At 46.8% G+C, this 18464-nt stretch overlaps 1 protein-coding gene and 2 long non-coding RNA genes across 7 annotated transcripts in view, besides 4 other annotated features; 1 reads left to right on the top strand and 2 right to left on the bottom strand.

Moving 5' to 3' along the window:
- GPAT4 (glycerol-3-phosphate acyltransferase 4) overlaps nt 1-1367 on the bottom strand; it is a 46802-nt gene extending 45435 nt beyond the window's left edge. For 3 of the 5 annotated variants that reach the window (XM_047421370.1, NM_001363198.2, NM_178819.4), the window contains exon 1: nt 1289-1367. The gene's annotated coding sequence lies outside the window, so the exon portion shown is untranslated. Of the gene's footprint in view, nt 1-986; nt 1052-1288 lie in introns of those variants that run through there. The other 2 variants (XM_047421372.1, NM_001363197.2) reach the window with 1 other exon arrangement.
- Nucleotides 861-1000: a silencer, noted in NCBI's record as "silent region_19145". NCBI's record gives its function as "represses an Ori minimal core promoter by ATAC-STARR-seq in GM12878 lymphoblastoid cells {active_cell/tissue: GM12878}" and the evidence as "EXISTENCE:reporter gene assay evidence [ECO:0000049][PMID:35858748]".
- Nucleotides 1021-1640: a silencer, noted in NCBI's record as "silent region_19144". NCBI's record gives its function as "represses an Ori minimal core promoter by ATAC-STARR-seq in GM12878 lymphoblastoid cells {active_cell/tissue: GM12878}" and the evidence as "EXISTENCE:reporter gene assay evidence [ECO:0000049][PMID:35858748]".
- The window catches only part of GPAT4-AS1 (GPAT4 and GINS4 antisense RNA 1), a 44064-nt gene continuing 26798 nt past the window's right edge, over nt 1199-18464 (top strand). Inside the window, exon 1 of the long non-coding RNA NR_125824.1 lies at nt 1199-1261. This is a non-coding gene — a long non-coding RNA (GPAT4 and GINS4 antisense RNA 1). The remainder of the gene's footprint in view (nt 1262-18464) is intronic.
- Nucleotides 6191-6397: a silencer, noted in NCBI's record as "fragment chr8:41430689-41430895 (GRCh37/hg19 assembly coordinates)". NCBI's record gives its function as "represses an EF-1alpha promoter that drives an FKBP-Casp9 reporter gene in an ReSE screen in HepG2 liver carcinoma cells {active_cell/tissue: HepG2}" and the evidence as "EXISTENCE:reporter gene assay evidence [ECO:0000049][PMID:32094911]".
- On the bottom strand, nt 10250-16509 carry LOC124901939 (uncharacterized). The gene is made up of 3 exons (XR_007060898.1): nt 14243-16509; nt 12644-12936; nt 10250-12454 (listed from the first exon to the last, which is right to left on the bottom strand). It is a non-coding gene; the product is annotated as an uncharacterized LOC124901939 (long non-coding RNA).
- Nucleotides 11347-12109: an enhancer, noted in NCBI's record as "H3K27ac-H3K4me1 hESC enhancer chr8:41424977-41425739 (GRCh37/hg19 assembly coordinates)". NCBI's record gives its function as "activates a minimal SCP1, AML or CMV promoter by ChIP-STARR-seq in naive and primed H9 embryonic stem cells {active_cell/tissue: H9 hESC(naive and primed)}" and the evidence as "EXISTENCE:reporter gene assay evidence [ECO:0000049][PMID:30033119]".

Genomic DNA, 18464 nt, shown 5'->3' with positions numbered 1-18464 from the left:
CACGCCCGGCCATACTTTTTCTTTTAACCTGTTCTATCATGTTAAGATACCTTTTGCTGTGCTCTTTCTTCAACTCTACTGTGTTTCTTAGCTGAAGACCTCATGAGTAGGCTGTGTTCCAAAACAAAAAGCACCTTATGACTTGGTATGGTGGTTTTCATTATGGAACTGAAGCTACTTTTGACAGACTCATCTTGCATCAAGTTCTCCCTGAGACATACGGGAGGGGAAATGGGTGGGGTGTGTATGGCACAGGAATAGCCACAGTTAAGTGGCTGAGGAGGCCAGAACAAGTACATGCTGGTTCCCTATTCCATCTATTTCCCTGTGTCTGAAATTCTCCAAAATACAAAGTTAAAAAAGAAAAGAAAAGCACATCTCTTTCAAAGAGAGAAGTATATTTGATTGGCATTATTACAGGATTTTGTCTGGAGACTTTGGTATGGTATAACTGCTCTTCACACCATTTCCCTTGGATTGAGATAGAATCTACAAGACATGAAACTAAGGAGAGCTCCTCAAAGTTCAGCCAAAATTAAGGAAAATGAACCAAAAACAAAATTCCTCAAATGACCTCAAGGTTATCCATGAGAAGATCCATGGTAATACTTGGCAGAGGATGGAACTTATTTCCATCGTGCTACACCGTATGTCTCCTATAAGCTATTTTCTGCAACTTCTGAACAGCTAAACTTCAGCCCTCTGTGACATGGAAAGCGAGGAAATAAACAAGCCCCACTGGGAGAAGGATGCCTCAGAGGGTGCTGAAATAAAAAAGGAAAGGCAAGGGATTTCAGGAGTTAAGAAATCCTAAAGAAAAATGGGAGCATGCATTTGGAGAAGGAGAGGGTAAAGACATGCATCTTACGGCAGCCAGAGAACACAGGAAGGGGAATGACAGGGGAAGGCGCTTCCTGGTGCTCCAACGCCCAGCAGCCCTCGCCACCCACATCCCCGGACTCCCGGGGCGGGAGGGCTGCGCACACCTGGGACTTGGGGGAGGCGAGGGGCTCCGAGGAGCCGGGCTCGGAGAGCAGGCGAGCGGAGAGGCGGGCGGCCGGGGTTCGGGGCGGGCGCGGACCGTTCCATCCCGGACGGGGGGCACCCGCTCCACCCGCCGGGGATCCCCGGGGCGCGGCGATGGTGCCTCCTGACGCCGGCGCAGCGTCGCCGGGGCGTCCCAGACCGCAGGCCCCGCGCGGCCGCCCAAGCCCGGCTCCCACGTCCCGCTCTCGGCTCCCCGGAGGTCGGAGACTTTGAGGTAAGGGGCCAGCTCCCTCCTACTCACCGACCGCGAGGCTAGGCAGCTCCAAATCCCGCGGCGACCGCTCCCTCCCGCCCTTGCCGCCGCCGCGGGCCCAAGCTGCGTCAGGACGTGCGCGCGCCCGCCTTTGTCTGCGCCGCCCAACGTGACCCTGCGCCCACCGCCCCGCACGCTCCCGTCGGGCGCGCGCGGGCCGGCAGGGCGGGGGCCTAGGGAGAGGCGGGTGCCGCGTGGACCGGTCGCGGGTTGGGCGACCCGCGGAGTCGCCCTCTGGCGGACTAGGGGGCACTGCCGGGGGCGGGGCGGGGCAGGAGCAGGAGAGGCCGGGCCCTGGCTGTCCCTCCGCTGGCGCGTCCCTCTCAGAAAGCGGAGCGCTTCCCTGCGTTAGGACCCGATACTGGCTCCCTCCCCGGAGGTTCGCTTGTGTGTTCCGGAGAGGGTGAAATCAGGCTGGCACCGCGGGAAGAGGCTAGAGTCACTAAATCACCTTGTCCTCTTGAGGCTGCTGTCCGTATGCAGCGACATTCTGCCCGTTAGAGGACTCAGCTCAGGGCCTGGTACGCTCAAGATCTGTTAGCTACCAGCACCATCACCACGACCACCGTCATCACCAGCAGTATCCCTCAGCCTCGTCTACCTTGCTCGTCAAGCAGGGTGCTCCAGGAGTGGGTGTAGGCCACTTTCGCCCTGCCTGGCAGATGCAACTTTCCAACTTCCACCTCCACTTGGACCTGCTCTCTCTACTCAAGTCTAGCTGGTGGCTGCTGGAGTTTGCGTGTGTGTTTCTTACTATATCTTCTGACTTCGGACGCCTAACCCAAGCTTATTATCTCCCCTAAAATGGGACCTCCTTAAAATATATATTACCTTTCTTTTTCCTGTTCTTAAAAGACAGTTTGCCTTTAGTGCCAAGCCCTCTCCGCCGGTTTACGCTGTACACGGCTGTCAGATTGTCATTCCGTGCTAAATGCATAATCTGATAATGAAATCTTTAAAGTCCACATTCTTAGACCTCAAAATCTCTGTAAGAATAAAGGGCAGAGTATGGTAGTTCACGCCAGTAATCCCAGCGTTTTGGGAGGCCAAAGCAGGAGGATCGCTTGAGGCCAGGAGTTTGAGACTAGCCGGGGCAACGTAACGAGACCCCCACTTCTACAAAAATTTTGAAAATTAAAAAAAAATGGTGGGGGGAGCGGGGCGCGGGTAGCTCACGCCTGTAATCCCAGCACTTTGGGAGGCAGAGGCGGACAGATCACTTAAGGCCAGGAGTTTGAGACCAGCCTGGCCAACATGGTGAAACCCCGTCTCTACTAAAAATACAAAATTTAGCCGGGGGTGATGGCACGCACCTGTAATCCCAGCTACTCGGGAGGCTGAGACAGGAGAATTGCATGAACCCAGGAGGCAGATGTTGCAGTGAACTGAGATTGTGGCACTATACTCCAGCCTGTGTGACAGAGCGAGACCCAAACTCAAAAAAAAAAAAAAAAAAAAGAATAACCACTTAGCTCCAAAACACTGGACTACTTATCTCCACCAAATATAACTAAATGTTACCCATTTGGAACTGATCACGTATTTATTAACTCAATCACTTATCCATTCATTGAGCCCTTGTTACTCGCCCAGCTTTTTTGGGGATCCCAATTCAAGATTGAGTAATGCATGGCCACGTCTAATCGTCAACGACATTAAATTCCATAAGAGAAGAAACCACCGGGCGCGGTGGCTCACCCCTGTAATCCCAGCACTTTGGGAGGCTGAGGCGGGGGAATCACGAGGTCAGGCATTCGAGACCAGCCTGACCAACATGGTGAAACCCCGTCTCTCCGTCTCTACTAAAAATACAAAAATTAGCCGGGCGTGGTGGTGCGCACCTGTAATCCCAGCTATTCGGGAGGCTGAGGCAGGAGACTTGCTTGAACCCAGGAGGCGGAGGTTGCAGTGAGTTGAGATCGCACCACTACACTCCAGCCTGGGCGACAGAGGGAGACTCCATCTCAGAAAAAAAAAAAAAAAAGAAGAAGAAACCAGACATCATACATTTTTGTGTTGTGTTCTCCACAGTGCTAGGGATAGGGATTTAAAGTGGCCACCAGGATCTCAACTGCTCTTTGGAGTCCTTCGTCTGGTCTCCTTTTCTGCCCCCAGAACCAGTCTTGGAAGTAGCCCACTCATCTGCTGTACTCTCTTTGTGTTCTCATGGTTATATTTTCTCACAATTCTTACCATCTACTAGTTCTTTGTACATAATATTGAAATCTTAAAATATTTCACACATATTAGAGGCTCAAGAGAAAATGGTGTTCTTTGCCCAAGCAAATAGTAGGCTCAATTGTTGGGTATTAACACTGATACACACACACACCTTGTGAGTGTGCACATTCACTGGCACATTCTCTAAACTTCTCAAGTGCAGGAAGGCAATCAAACTTCCCTCTGAGTGGGAAGCCAACATGAACTAGGTAAATATAGTTCCTGTAGGCACCAAAACTTTTATCACATTCATTTCTAGGTACAAGGAATGTAAATGGGCAGATGAAACAAGCAAGTCATGCTTGAAATGCTTGACACAAAGCAGACTTATCTTTAGAGAAGGCCTCCTGCCCATAGCATGACCGAGCTATAGCCAACACTGAACTTCTTGTCGCTGTGAATATGGGCTGTCTTTAGATTATTGTTGGCAGTATTTTCACATTCTAGAATGAAAAAACTCATACTGCAGAAATTATAGGAGTAATTTTTAAAACCTGATGAAGGGTAGTCCTTTAGAAGAAAGAGATCACAAGATTTAGATCCTACCCCATACTAACTTTGAATTCATTCATAGTATGAGGGCATTTCCCCAAAATGTGTGCTCTGTACATGGTGCACAGTGCTGTGAGCCTGGGAAGAACCCCTTTCCCCAGGAGAGTACCATGCCTGTGCCGTACAACTTATCTTCCTTCCAAAGTCAACTTTAACATCTACAAAGAGTTTGCCATTCATTAAGAGGTGAATCCCTAACTGTCGACTGCACAACCAGCAACATCAATGCTCATTTCCAAGCACCAAAATAAAAAGCCAAAGAAAGTAAAATAAATATTATTTTTAAAAAATGTTTTCAATTGTGGTAGAATACGTAGAACCTAAAATTTATTATACCATCTTAATCAGTTCTTTTTTTTTTTTTTTTGAGATGGAGTCTCACTCTCTTGCCCAGGCTGGAGTACAGTGGCACAATCTCAGCTCACTGCAACCTCCGCCTCCAGGTCCAAGCGATCCTCTCACCTCAGTCTCCCGAGTAGCCAGGATTACAGGCATGCACCACCACATCTGGCTAATTTTTTTGGTGGAGGGGAGAGGGGACGGAGTCTCACTCTGTGGCCCAGGTTGGACTGCAGTGGTGAGATCTCGCCTCACTGCAACCACTGCCTCCCAGTTCAAGTGATTCTTCTGCCTCAGCCTCCCAGGTAGCTGGGACTACAGGTGCGCGCCATCATGCCCAGATAATTTTTGCATTTTTAGTAGAGATGGGTTTTCACCATATTGACCAGGCTGCTCTTGAACTCCTGACCTTAGGTGATCTACCCACCTTGGCCTCCCAAAGTGCTGGGATTACTGACATGACCCACTGGGCCTGGCCCATCTTAATCATTTCTAAGTGTACAGTTCAGTGGTGTTAAATATATTTTCATTATTATGAATCTTCAGAAATTTCCATCAAGGCTGGGGATGGTATCTAATGCCTGTAATTCCAGTTATTTGGGAGGCTGAGGCAAGTGGATTGCTCGAGCCCAGGAGTTTGAGACCAAGCCTGGGAAACATGGGGGAACCCAATCTCTAAAAAAAAAAAAAAAAAAAAAAAATTGACATTCTATGCCCATTAAAAAAAAATTTCATTTCTCTTCTCTCTACCCCCAGTAACAACCATTCTACCATTCTACGTTCTGCTAATGGGAGTTCAAGTAGTCTGCCTCATATAAATAGTCGGATTTTGTCTTTTTGTGACTGGCTTATTTCACTTAGCACAGTGTCCTCCAGATTCATCCATGTTGTAGCATGTGTCAGAGTTCCCTTTTTTTTAGGGCTAATATTCCATTGTATGTATGTATGTTTATTTTGAGACGGAGTTTTTGCTCTTGTTTCCCAGGCTTGAGTGCAATGGCATGATCTTGGCTCACTGCAACCTCCGCCTCCTGGGTTCAAGAGATTCTCCTGCCTCAGCCTCCCAAATAGCTGGGATTACAGGCATGCGCCACCATGCCTGGCTAATTTTTTTTTTTAATTTTATTTTTAGTAGAGATGGAGTTTCACCATGTTGGTCAGGCTGGTCTCGAACTCCTGACCTCAAGTTATCCACCCACTTCAGCCTCCCAAAGTGCCGGAATTACAGGCATGAGCCACTGCGCCTGGCCCCATTGTATTTGTATACCACATTTTCTTTATCTATTTGTCGTTGACGGACATTTGGGATTGATCCTGCTTTCAATTATTTTGTGTATCTACCCTGAAGTGGGATTGCCCAATCGTATGGTAATTCTACTCTCAATTTTTTTAAGTCTGGAGTTGGGAGGAGAGCTTCAGCTAGTGATATAAATTTGAGAGTCAGGCCGGGCATCGTGGCTTATGCCTGTAATTCCAACACTTTGGGAAGCCGAGGCAGGCAGATCGCTTGAACCCAGGAGTTCAAGACCAGCCTGAGCAATATGGTGAAACCCTCTCTCTAAAAAAAAAAAAAAAAAAATTAGCCAGCCATGGTGGCAGGAGCCTGTAGTCTCAGCTACTTGGGAGTCTGAGGTGGGAGGATCACTTGAGTCCAGGAGGTCGAGGATGCAGTGAGTGAGATTGCTTCACTGCATTCCAGCCTGGACTACTGGAGTGAAACCATGTCTCAAAAAAAAAAAAAAAAAAAAAAAAGGCCGGGCGCGGTGACTCATGCCTGTAATCCCAGCACTTTGGGAGGCCGAGGCAGGCGGATCACGAGGTCAGGAGACCAAGACCATCCTGGCTAACACGGTGAAACCCCGTCTCTACTAAAAATACAAAAAATTAGCCAGGCGTGGTAGCAGGCACCTGTAGTCCCAGCTACTCAGGAGGCTGAGGCAGGAGAATGGCGTGAACCCAGGAGGTGGAGCTTGCAGTGAGCCGAGATTGCGCCACTGCACTCCAGCCTGGGCAACAGAGCGAGACTCCGTCTCAAAAAAAAAAAAAAAAAAAGTTAAAAATAAATAAATTTGAGAGTCATCAGAATACGAATGGTACATATGTTGGATCGGATGAATACAAGAAAGCCCAGACTTAAGGAGAGACTTGGCAGTTAAGAGCAGTGAAGAAGACAGGTTGTTTCAGTCCAGATCTATACCATAGTCTTCAATTTGAAAGAAACACACTCTGCCAGGCACAGTGGCTCATGCCTGTAATCCCAGCACTTTGGGAGGCCAAGATGGGTGGATTAGCTGAGGTCAGGAGTTGAAGACCAAGGCCTGGCCAACATGGAGAAACCCCATCTCTACTAAAAATACAAAAATTAGCCAGGTGTGGTGGTGGGTGCCTGTAATGCCTGCTACTGGGGAGGGTGAGGCAGGGGAATTGCTTGAACTGGGGAGGCGGAGGTTGGAGTGAGCCAAGATGGCGCCTTTGTTCTCCAGCCTGGGCGACACACTCTATTTTGCCAATTTATTATGAATTGATTGTGACAAGTTGGTTAAGAGACTCAAACCAACAAGGGACACTGATACAAAAAGGCTTATTTATTATTTTGGGAGGATTGAAAACGCAAAATTAACTGGAATGATACAATTAGTAGGTCAGCTCATACTTTCAGCAGTAGGAAAGTCTACATACTTGGAAAATCAAATCAACATTAGTTGATTGTTTGTTTACTATAAGGTTTTTAAAAAAGAAACGAGGAAATGTGTGGCTCCCAGGGCTCTGGCAATGGGCTCTACTCGCAAAGTTCTGCTTGCATCTGCCAAGCAGTGGATAAAAGTTGGCAGAGCCGACCATCCTCTTGGATGACCATGATACACTATTTCTCTTAGCCCAGCTCCCCACTTTCTGAAATTCATGCCCACCTACCATTACCACCTCCCGTGAGACTATAGTTGCCTTCCTGGGGTTCCCATGGAAAGAAAACAGGAGCTTGTACATTATTTTAAGAATTCAAAAAGTCTAGTAGAATTCACACATTTACCTGAAATAAGGATACTTAAACAGACTAAAATGTAATTTTTTGCAGATATCCGCTCATATGACTCACTTCAAGATCAACCCCAACAGAAAGTTTTCTCTGATTCCCCCAGGAGCTCATTCTCTCTTTGGGTGCCTCTAATATTGTTTACTTTCATTATTTATTCATATGTCTGTCCCCCAACCAGACCGTAAATTTTGATTTATTCATCTTTCTATCACCAATTGGCATATATAGTAGTTGCTCAATAAATGTTTGTTGGATGAGTGAAAACTACGTGATGACTACCAGAAACTAGACAAATTATGCATACATCTGATGAATAAAATTATAAACTAAACTACTACTTAATGCACAAAGTTTGATAGACAATACTTGGGGTATGTGAGAAAATGAAGGTGTTCTTTTTGTTTTGTTTTGTTTTGAGATGAGTTCTTACTCTGTCACCCAGGCTGGAGTGTCGTGGTACAGTCTCAGCTCACTGCAACCTCTGCCTCCTGGGCTCAGGTGATCCTCCCACCTCAGCCTCCCAAACAGCTGTAACCACAGGTGTGCACCACCACACCTGGCTATTTTTTTATTTTTTTGTAGAGACAGGGTTTCTCCATGTTGCCCTGGCTGGTCTTGAACTCCTGGACTCAAGTGATCCTCCCACCTTGGCCTCTCAAAGTGCTAGAATTACAGGCGTGAGCCACCTTGAGTGGCCCAAAGGAATTCTTAACAGCAAAAATACCAGAGCTTATTGAATTTTTTTTTTTTTTTTTGAGACGGAGTCTCGCTCTGTCACCCAGGCTGGAGTGCAGTGGTGCGATCTCTGCTCACTACAAGCTCCACCTCCCAGGTTCACGACATTTTCCTGCCACAGCCTCCCAAGTAGCTGGGACTACAGGTGCCCGCCACCATGCCTGGCTAATTTTTTTGTATTTTTTACTAAAGACAGGGTTTCACTATGTTAGCCAGGATGGTCTTATCTCCTGACCTTGTGATCTGCCCGCCTCAGCCTCCTAAAGTTCTGGGATTATAGGCATGAGCCACCGTGCCCAGCCCAGCTTATTGAATTTTAACATTACCTAGATGGGAAAGGTTGTAATAAATTAGACTAGTTCATCTTCGTCTGGACCTTTCAGAGGTCAAGGGAGCCCTTGACCACTTTTTATTTTTTTGAGATTATTCCTGCATTAAAAAAAAAAAGAATTACAAGATTACAACTGTGGCATATGGTACATGTGTATATTTCCAAAATTGACAATTTTAACAGAAAAAGGGGCAGTATACACAATTGTGCTACTTACAAGATAAAGTTTTATAAAAATGTCAAATATTATTTCAAAGCGCATAGCAGGCAACATGAGATGCATCTCTAGCTAGGAGATGCAAATGTGAAATTTGGAGGTGAATGATGAGCAGCATCTTTCTTTCTTTTTTTCCTTTATTCCTTCCTTCCTTCTTTCTTTTCTCTCTTTCCCTCCCTCCCTGCCTTTCTTTCTGTCTTTCTGTCTTTCTTCCTTCCTTTCCTTTCCTTTCCTTTTCCCTCCCTCCCTCCCCCTCTCTCTCTTTCTTTCTTTCTTGACAGTCTCACTCTGTCGCCCAGGTTGGAGTGCGATGGTGACATATCGGCTCACTGCAACCTCCACCTCCTGGGTTCAAGCGATTCTCCCACCTCAGCTGCCCGAGTAGCTTGGATTACAGGCACCTGCCATCATGTCCAGCTAATTTTTGTATTTTTAGTAGAGACTGGGTTTCACCATGTTGGCCAGGCTGATCTTGAACTCCTGACCTCAGGTGATCCACCTGCCTCTGCCTCCCAAGGTGCTGGGATTACAGGCAGGAGCCACTGAGCCCAGCTGAGCAGCATCTTTTTTCAATCCTGTTAGTTCTCTCTGTAGTTGTATGTGTAACTTAATTTGGAGATAGTATCAAAAGTCTAGGTCCCAGACCCTCTCTAAATGTGACGCCTGGTCCACGTGGTCTCCCAGCACTTCCCCTTTCTAGTGCTAGGCCATGATGATGAGATGGATTTCAGAAACTCTAATGTCATTAGAAATACATTACCACACATCTTAGGAGTACGTCACTTCTACAGCTGGCTACTCATCTTTTCTGTTGATTTTTACTAGCTTGAATTTGAAAGCAACCCCCAACTCTGACAGCATGCTCTATAAGTCCACCTGCCCTATTCATGATCAACCCTTAATGGAGTCAGGCCTTCTAGAAGGCAAGGGGGAAACAGTAGCGATTGCAATAGCTCCCATTATCAGATGAGGAAGCTGCAGCTCTGTCCACACTGTTCCTGGAAGCCTGTGTGTTTGGCTGCTTCTGCCTTTACCCTGTTAACCACCTGGCAGGGCACCCTGGCTGTTTTGTTCGAGAGTCAGGTGGGGCAGGCCCTTTAGGGAAAAAAATGAAGTGGCCGGTTGGGGTGACTCATGCCTGTAATCACAGCACTTTGGAAGGCCAAGGTTGGGTGGATCACTTGAGGTCAGGAGTTCATGACCAGCCTGGCCAACATGGTGAAACCCCGTCTCTACTAAAAATACAAAAATTAGCTGGGCATGGTGGCAGGCACCTGTAATCCCTGCTACTCGGGAGGCTGAGGGAGGAGAATCGCTTACCCGTGAGGCAGAGGTTGCAGTGAGCCAGGATAGTGCCATTGCGCTCCAGCCTGGGTGACAGAGCAAGATTCTGTCTCAAAAAAAAAAAAAGAAAGAAAGAAAGAAAGAAAAAATAAAGTGAATGTTGCTTGTTCAACCTCAATACCTGCCATTGGCATAAAAAATGTAGTCCAAGAAATCAAGTATCAGAAGAGATAAAAGTGTACAAAAAGAAATCTTTTATTTAAAATTTGTCATCTATGAATAATAATCGAAGAATGAAGAGTCCCTGAAAAGAGGTTAAAGCCTTCCAACATCTAAAGCTCTCAGAACACTGTAAATTGAAGCTAGAGGCATACTTGGCACACATTCACATATATTATTCTAATCCATATGTTCTGAGCTCCAGGGGGGTGGCCAGCCTGCGGCCGGCTGTGTCCAAGGCCAACTTGTCCTCACTTTCTCCCATCCTGGGGGAGGCAAACACTTCAGTGGATGCTTTCAATACCGGACCATCAATACATAATGGGGAGCTATGGGGGCCGTGGGGGCAAAGGTCAGGTTTCTGGGTCTAGGTAAATTGCATTCAAAGAAGTAGTAGCAGCCGGGTGTGTTGGCTCACGCCTGTAATCCCAGCACTTTGGGAGGCCAAGGTGGGAGGATCACGAGGTCAGCAGTTTGAGACCAGCCTGGCCAACATGATGAAACCCCGTCTCTACTAAAGATATAAAAAATAGCAGTGCATGGTGGCAGGTGCCTATAATCGCAGCTACACAGGAGGCTGAGGCAGGAGAATAATTTGAACCCAGGAGGTGGAGATTGCAGTGAGCTGATATGGCACCATTGCACTCCAACCTGGGTGACAAGGTGAGACTCCATCTCAAAAAAAAAAAAAAAAAAAAAGTAGTACCCAGGCACCATGGCTCACACCTGTAATCCCAACACTCTGAGTGATCCTTAGGCAGGAGGACCAGTTGAACCCAGGAGTTCAAGACCAGTTTGGACAACATGAGGAGATACTGTCTAAAAAATAATAATAAAAATTAAAATTAAAAATTAAAGTGTACTAAACTACTGAAAATAAGTGTTTTTAAAAGTACCCATATTTTGAAATGAACAGAGACAGAGTCTCCCCACACTTTTATATGATGAAGAGGGAGAAAAAGTGTTTATTATATCAACTGTTGAAGATGCTTTAATGAACATTCCTTTTGGCAAAAGTGGAATAAGCCTGACTATTTCAAGTTACCAGGAAAGTAGCCCTTCCTAGATGGAGAGGAAAGTAGAAGGGCAAAGTTCTCTCTCCCATCTTTAACGTAAAGAACCCCTCCCCAACCTCTGCAATACACACACAAACATACACACATGCGCACGCACACACCACCCACGGTCCTTAGACACTCTCTGCTAAGCCCTTTCAATAATTACATATAAATACTTTATTTGCATTTCTTCGGTTTCCCGACTCCATTCCCAGAATCTTCCTAAAGCAAAACCTCATCCCTTGTAGTCAGGAAGTGAGAGAAGAATGCAAGGCATTCGAGGCCTTCTGCAGGGACTAGGAGTTGAATCAGTCCTGTTTCCCCATTATGAATTCAGGAGCAAGAAAACAGATTGAGCAAAGTTCCCCGACATGGGAAACACGCGCGTCCTGGACAAGAAATCACGCTTTGCCCAGGTGGAAAAGGCAGGCGCAGAGGCCTCAGCCTGTCTGTCTGTGCGCCCTCACAGAGCCTGGCTTCATTCTGATGAGCAGGACGGCGAACCCGGCACCCAGCTGTAGTTTTGCCTTTGATTACTGTCCCCGAAAGGCCGCTGAGCACGCTCTAAAGAGAAGCAGAACTGGACGGTGGCCCGCGGGGCCAGGGTACTCGGCGGCAACACCACCTGGAAGGCGAAGCCGACCCTCTCACCTCGGCGGGGACCCGGCATTCCAACACAGGGCTCTTGTTGGAAGGAGCCCCAGGCATCCAGGGGGTGCGCATCTGCACGGCCCGCTTGTCCCCACCTGCGCTCACGGTGCCCCGCAGGAAGCCCCTACAGGGCACACAGCTGCAGGCTCGCCCCCGAGAGTGCGGGCATCCCTGAATACCCGCTAGTCCCTCCTGGGGCGCAGCAGCCCGGGCGTGGGGGGCGGTTCTGCAGCAGGAGGAGGCCGGGCCGGGGAGGCTGCACGCGGGACACCGGCCCTCTTCAGGCTGTGCCCGCAGTGGCTTCAAACCAGTGCACCGATACCAACGACAGCCCCTTTGCGTCTGCAAACACAACTTGCTTCTTGGGTCGCTGGGGGTCAGGTGGTCGTGCCAGGCAGGGGAGGGACAGCCGAGGCCGCGGCGCCCCTCGGGGAGGCCGCTAGGGCTGCGGAAGAGGTACGCTGCAGCAGAGGTAGAGGTGCATAAGGAGGCGCGCTGAAGGCGGCACGGGGACCTTGGCAAAAAGGAAGGAAGCTCTGTTGAGGGCGCAGAAGGACCGCACATTCCCACCTGCAGCCCAACCCGCCCTTCCCTGCGCTCCCCCGGGCTCGCACACCCCACGGTGTCCCCTGAAACTGGAGAAGAAGAGAAGTGCAAGAAGAACCACGTGGCACCGTCGATTCCTGGAGGCCGGCGTGCTTACCCCACTCAACTCCAGGCGGCAGGCGTGGCAGGGGTGTCGCTGCTCCTGTCTGAGAAACAGCTTCCCAGCGGGAATTATTTATTTGCTCCCGAACCGTCGCGCTGAGGCACTACTGCCAGGAGGCAGCCAATCAGAAGAGCCTTTCATGATTAACCAGTGGGTTGGAGAAAGGAAAAGGATGTGACTACAAGTATGACTCAGTAGGTCCCAGCTACTCGGGAGGCCAAGGTGGGAGGCTCGCTTGAGCCCAGGAGTTAGGAGACCAGCCTGGGCAAGATGGTGAGATCCCGTCTCTAGGAAGAAAGAAGAAGAAGGAGGAGAAGAAGTGTGACACAGACATTTTGCCTCAGGCCACCAGCACGTCACCTGGGGCAGCATTTGGGATCACTCTGGGGTCACCAGTGATGGGGGTCTGTGATCAGGACAGGAGGGACAACAGGGACAATGTTGAAACTGGAAACCCTCTTAGCTGTGGAATAGACGGGATTTGTGTTTGTTTGTCTGTTGTAATTATTATTATTATTATTATTATTATTATTATTAGAGACTCACTCTGTCGCCCAGGCTGGAGTGCAGTGGCCTGATCTCGGCTCACTGCAACCTCCGCCTCCCGGGTTCTAGTGGGTCCTGCCTCAGCCTCCCTAGTAGCTGGGACTACAGGCGTGTGCCACCACGCCCGGCTAGTTTTTTGTATTTTAGTAGAGATGGGGTTTCACGGTGTTGCCCAGGCTGGTCTGAACTCCTGAGCTCAGGCAATCCATCCACCTCGGCCTCCCAAAGAGCTAGGATTACAGTCGTGAGCCACCGTGCCCAGCCTGTTTGTCGTATTTATTTACTTTAATTATTTTTCTTTTAATAGAGACTTGGTCTCCCTGTTGCCCAGGCTGGTCTTCAAATCCTGGGCTCAAGCGATACTCCCACATCGGCCTCCTAAAGGGCTGGGATTATAGGCATGAGCCACCGTGCCCAGTTCCACCAGTAGCCTTGAAAAGTTGCCCTTTTGGCCGGGAGCAGTGGCTCATGCCTGTAATCCCAGCACTTTGGGAGGCCGAGGCAGGTGGATCACTTGAGGTCAGGAGTTGGAGACCAGCATGACAGCACAGTGAAACCCTGTCTCTACTAAAAATACATAATTAGCCGGGTGTGGTGGCGCATGCCTGTAATCCCAGCTACTTGGGAGGCTGAGGCAGGAGAATCACTTGAATCCAGGAGACAAAGGTTGCAGTGAGCCAAGATCAGGCCATTGCACTCCAGCCTGGGGGACAAGAGCAAAACTCTCTCTCAAAAAAAAAAAAAAAAAAAAAAAAAAAAAAAAAGTTGCCCTTTTCCCATATCTTCACCATAATTAAAAACGATCAAACTAAGATATTTGTCAATATGACAGGTGTAAAAAAGCATCTCATGATTGTTTTGATTACATTTTTAAAAGAAAATGGCATGGTAGGATTTTTTTCATATATCATTGGCCATTTCCATTTCGTTCTCAGTGAATGACATATTCAAACTTTTCACCAATTTTTAAATTAAGCTATTTGTATATTTTCAATAATGTAGGTGTTAGTAGCTCTTGGTTAATTAATGATATTAATTGGTTCAAACCTGTGCACCGATGCCAACAAGAGCCCCTTTGCATCAGCAAACACAACTTGCTTCTTGGGTCACTGGGGATCAGGAGGTCGTGCCAGGCAGGGGTTAATGATATCAAGTAAGTGGATTATCTGTTTGGAAGAAAATAAGGGTAGACCCCAATCTCACAACAAAAATAATTGAAGAGCTTAACAAAAAAATAAAACTGGCTGGGTGCGGTGGCTCACACCTGTAATCCCAGCACTTTGGGAGGCCAAACCGGGCAGATCACGAGGTCAGGAGATCGAGACCATCCTGGATAACACGGTGAAACCCCATCTCTACTAAAATTAAAAAAAAAAAAAATTAGCCGGGCATTGTGGCACACACCTGTAGTCCCAGCTACTTGGGAGGCTGAGGCAGGAGAATGGCTGAGCCTGGGAGGCGGAGCTTGCAGTGAGCTGAGACCGCGCCACTGCACTCCAGCCTGGGCGATAGAGCAAGACTCCATCTCAAAATAAAATAAAATAAAAAATAAAACTGTAAATTATAAGGAAGAATTATAGGATAATATTTGCATAATTTGGGGGAAGGAGAAATTATATATGGCATGATAAACAAAATCAACAGGTAAACAAAAGACTGGGGAAATGTGTTTACAAAATACCGACCAACCAAGATGATGTTACTTCTTCTTGAGTCTGTTTTGCTTATATTTTCTGAGAGAGTCATCCATTTCCTTTAAATGTTAAACTTACTATAAAGGTAAGCACAGTGTTATTCTAGTTATTAAAAAGACTCGGCTGGGTGCAGTGCCTCACCTGTGCAATCTCAGCACTCTGGGAGGCCAAGGCCAGGGGGGATCACTTGGGCTCAGGAGTTCGAGACCAGCCTGAGCAACCTGGTGAAACCCCATCTCTACAAAAAAATACAAAAATTAGCGAGACGTGGTTGTGCGTGCCAGTTACTCCCAGCTACTCAGGAGGCTGAGGTGGAGGATCGCTTGAGCCCAGGAGGTGGAGGCTGCAGTGAGCTGTGATTGTGTCACTGCACTCCAGCCTGAGCCACAGAGCCCTTTTATTATTCCTAATATGCTTTATCAGTATTTTCTATATTTTTCATGGTCAGATTTGAAGTTTTTTTATTTGTTTTTCAGTTTCTTAGGTATATTGATTTCCCTTGTTGTCTAGTTAATTATTTTGTTTTCATTTTATGATTTCCCCTTTCATTTTTCTACTGTTTCTCCCTTCTTCAGTGGAATGCTCAGTTTCCTTTATTTTTAATCTTTTGTGTTTCCCAAGAAATGCATTTGAGATTGTATATTCTCTCAAAAAAGTAAACCTATACATTTGAAGACAGTGCTTTATTGCTAAACAGGCTCTCATTTGCATATTTGTTTTCTCTTTGACACAAGAATTATTTTCAAGAGTGCTATAAAAATTTGTAAGAGATCATATTGGGAGGAGGATATCTTTTTCATGTTGTCTTTAAGTTTTATTGACAGCCTAACCTTCTTCCTATGTAACAAATTCTTATGGATCCCTGCTTTTTGCTGAACAATGTGTTGGGTGCTGAAGCATGAAGGTAAATAAAACTGGTAAGATTGCTGACCACAGGAGACTTGCTTTCTAGCATTCAGAGAATGTTTTTTGTTTTTTTGTTTTTTTTTTTTTTTGAGGCAGAGTCTTACTCTGTTGCCCAGGCTGAAGTGCAGTGGTGTGATCTCAGCCCACTGCAACCTCCGCCTCCTGGGTTCAAGAGATTCTCCTGCCTCAGCCTCCTGAATAACTGGGATTAGCCGCCACCATGCCTGGCTAATTTTTGTATTTTTGGTAGAGATGGGATTTCACCATGTTGGCCAGACTGGTCTCGAACTCCTGACCTCAGGTGATCTGCCTGCCTTGGCCTCCCAAAGTGTTGGGATTACAGGCGTGAGCCACCACACCCAGCCGAGAGTGTGATCTTTATGACCTACATTTTGGGGGAATTTATTGAAACTTTCTTTCATGGCTATAGGTGATCCAATTTTTTAAAAAAGTATTTTCTCAGTTTGCTAAAATGTTCTCTCACTTCCTAAATCCTGAGAAAGGAGTTTTCAGGTCTCCTATGATGGTTGAGTTTTTCTCAAATTCTTGTGTTTCTGACAGTTTAGCATTTATATATTGTAACACTATGTTGTTTGGTATGTGAAGGCTCACTATTATTATATCTTCTTGGTGATTTTGTCTTATATTAATGGTTGATAAACCTCTATTCTATTTAATGATTTTGCCTTTAAGTTTATATTGATTTTTCTGACACCCCAATTTTGCTTTGTTAATATCAGTCTTTTTTTTTTTTTTTGAGATGGAGTTTTGCTCTTTTGCCCAGGCTGGAGTGCAATGGTGCATGGTGCAATCTTGGCTCACTGCAACCTCTGCCCCCGCTCACCCCCTACCCCAAATTCAAGCGATTCTCCTGCCTCAGCCTCCCGAGTAGCTGGGATTACAGGTGTGTGCCACCATGCCCGGCTAATTTTTTTGTATTTTTAGTAGAGACAGGGTTTCACTATGTTGGCCAGGCTGGTCTCGAACTCCTGACCTCAGGTGATCGACCCACCTCGGCCTCCCAAAGTGCTATGATTACAAGCATGAGCCACTGCACCTGGCCGTTAATACCAATGTTTTTAATAGATTCATTGTTATTGTTTATTTTTTATCCACTTTCTACTATTTGAGGTGTGTGATTATTTTGAAGGAAGAGAAAGTAGCTGGATTGTTTTTCCAGATTTCTTTTTCTCTTGTTCTTGGTACTTTCAATAAGCTCTAGGTTTTCAACTGACTCTCATTGCATAAGAGTTGTTTTTCTCTATTTACACTGGTTAATGCCAAGTATTTAGCTCAGCGTGATCCTGGCATTGCTATCAAAGCAAATGTAGGCTAAAAGAGCAGTTGTTTAGACAGTTATTTAGATCTCTTTTTGTCAGGATTGTGTGCATTTATCTTGCACACTGAAACCCCCCAAATCTGGCTAAACACACAACATATGTAAAAGTTTCAAAGACCCTAAAAACCTTTCACCCACAGAGACCTTGAGTTGGAAGAACATATTGGACCAAAGTTAGACCTGGAAATGATCTACCATGATCTAAGCAATTTCACTGCTCAACATAGTTGGAAACCAGGCAGCTGGGGAGGCATTGCCTCTGTAGGTGCCATGGGAAGAGGTCAAGGTCGGAACTTATTTTTGCTGGACAAACAGTGTGGGGTCAGGGAAAGCTAACTGATTTTCTGAGTCAGAAGTGCTAGATCGCAAGCTTGGCCATACTGCCTACCAGTGACTACGGAAACGCTGAAGCTTTTATATCTGAAAATGGGATAATGGTAACTGTCTATGTCAATGTATTGTAAGAAGATGAAGACAACATCTTATACATCTTATATATGTGTGATACTCTGACCTCTCAAAACCTCTTTTTTTGTTTTTGAGACAGGGTCTCACTCTGACAACCAGGCTGGCGCACAGTGGTGCCATCTCGGTTCACTGCAACCTCCGCCACCTCCTGGGTCAAGTGATTCTCCCACCTCAGCTTCCGGAGTAGCTGGGACTACAGTCAAAAACCTTTTTTTTTTTTTTTTTTTTTTTTTGAGACAGAGTCTCACTCTGTTGCCCAGGCTGGAGTGCAGTGGTGCAATCTTGGCTCACTGCAACCTCCACCCCCCATGTTCAAGCAATTCTCACGTCTCAGCCTCCCAAGTAGCTGGGACTACAGGTGTGCACCACCAGGCCTGGCTAATTTTTGTGATTTTAGTAGAGATGGGGTTTCACCATGTTGGTCAGGCTGATCTCGAACTCCTGACCTCAGGTAATCCACCTGCCTCGGCCTCCCAAAGTGCTGGGATTACAGGCGTGAGCCACTGCATTCGGCCAATTTTTTGTATTTTTAGTATAGATGGGGTTTCACCATGTTGGCCAGGCTGGTCTCAAATTCCTGAACTCAGGTGATCCGCCCACCTTGGCTTCCCAAAGTGACAGGATTACAGGGGTGAGCCACCACATCTGGCCTCAGAAACCTTTTAGTACCTTATTTTATTTTGCTTGTAAGAGACAGGGTCTGGCTCTGTTGCCCAGGCTGGAGTGCGGTGATACAATCATAGCTCACTGCAGCCTCCAACTCCTGGGCTCAAGCCATTCTCTCCCAAGCCTCCTGAGTAGCTAGGACTAAAGGTGCATGCCACAACACCAGGCTAATTTTTAAAATTTTTTGTAGAGATGG

Source organism: Homo sapiens, chromosome 8 (genome assembly GCF_000001405.40).
Source record: "Homo sapiens chromosome 8, GRCh38.p14 Primary Assembly".
Taxonomy (NCBI): Eukaryota; Metazoa; Chordata; class Mammalia; order Primates; family Hominidae; genus Homo; species Homo sapiens.
The sequence above is the reverse complement of the archived record's forward strand: the minus strand, read 5'-3'. Positions and strand labels throughout refer to the sequence as shown.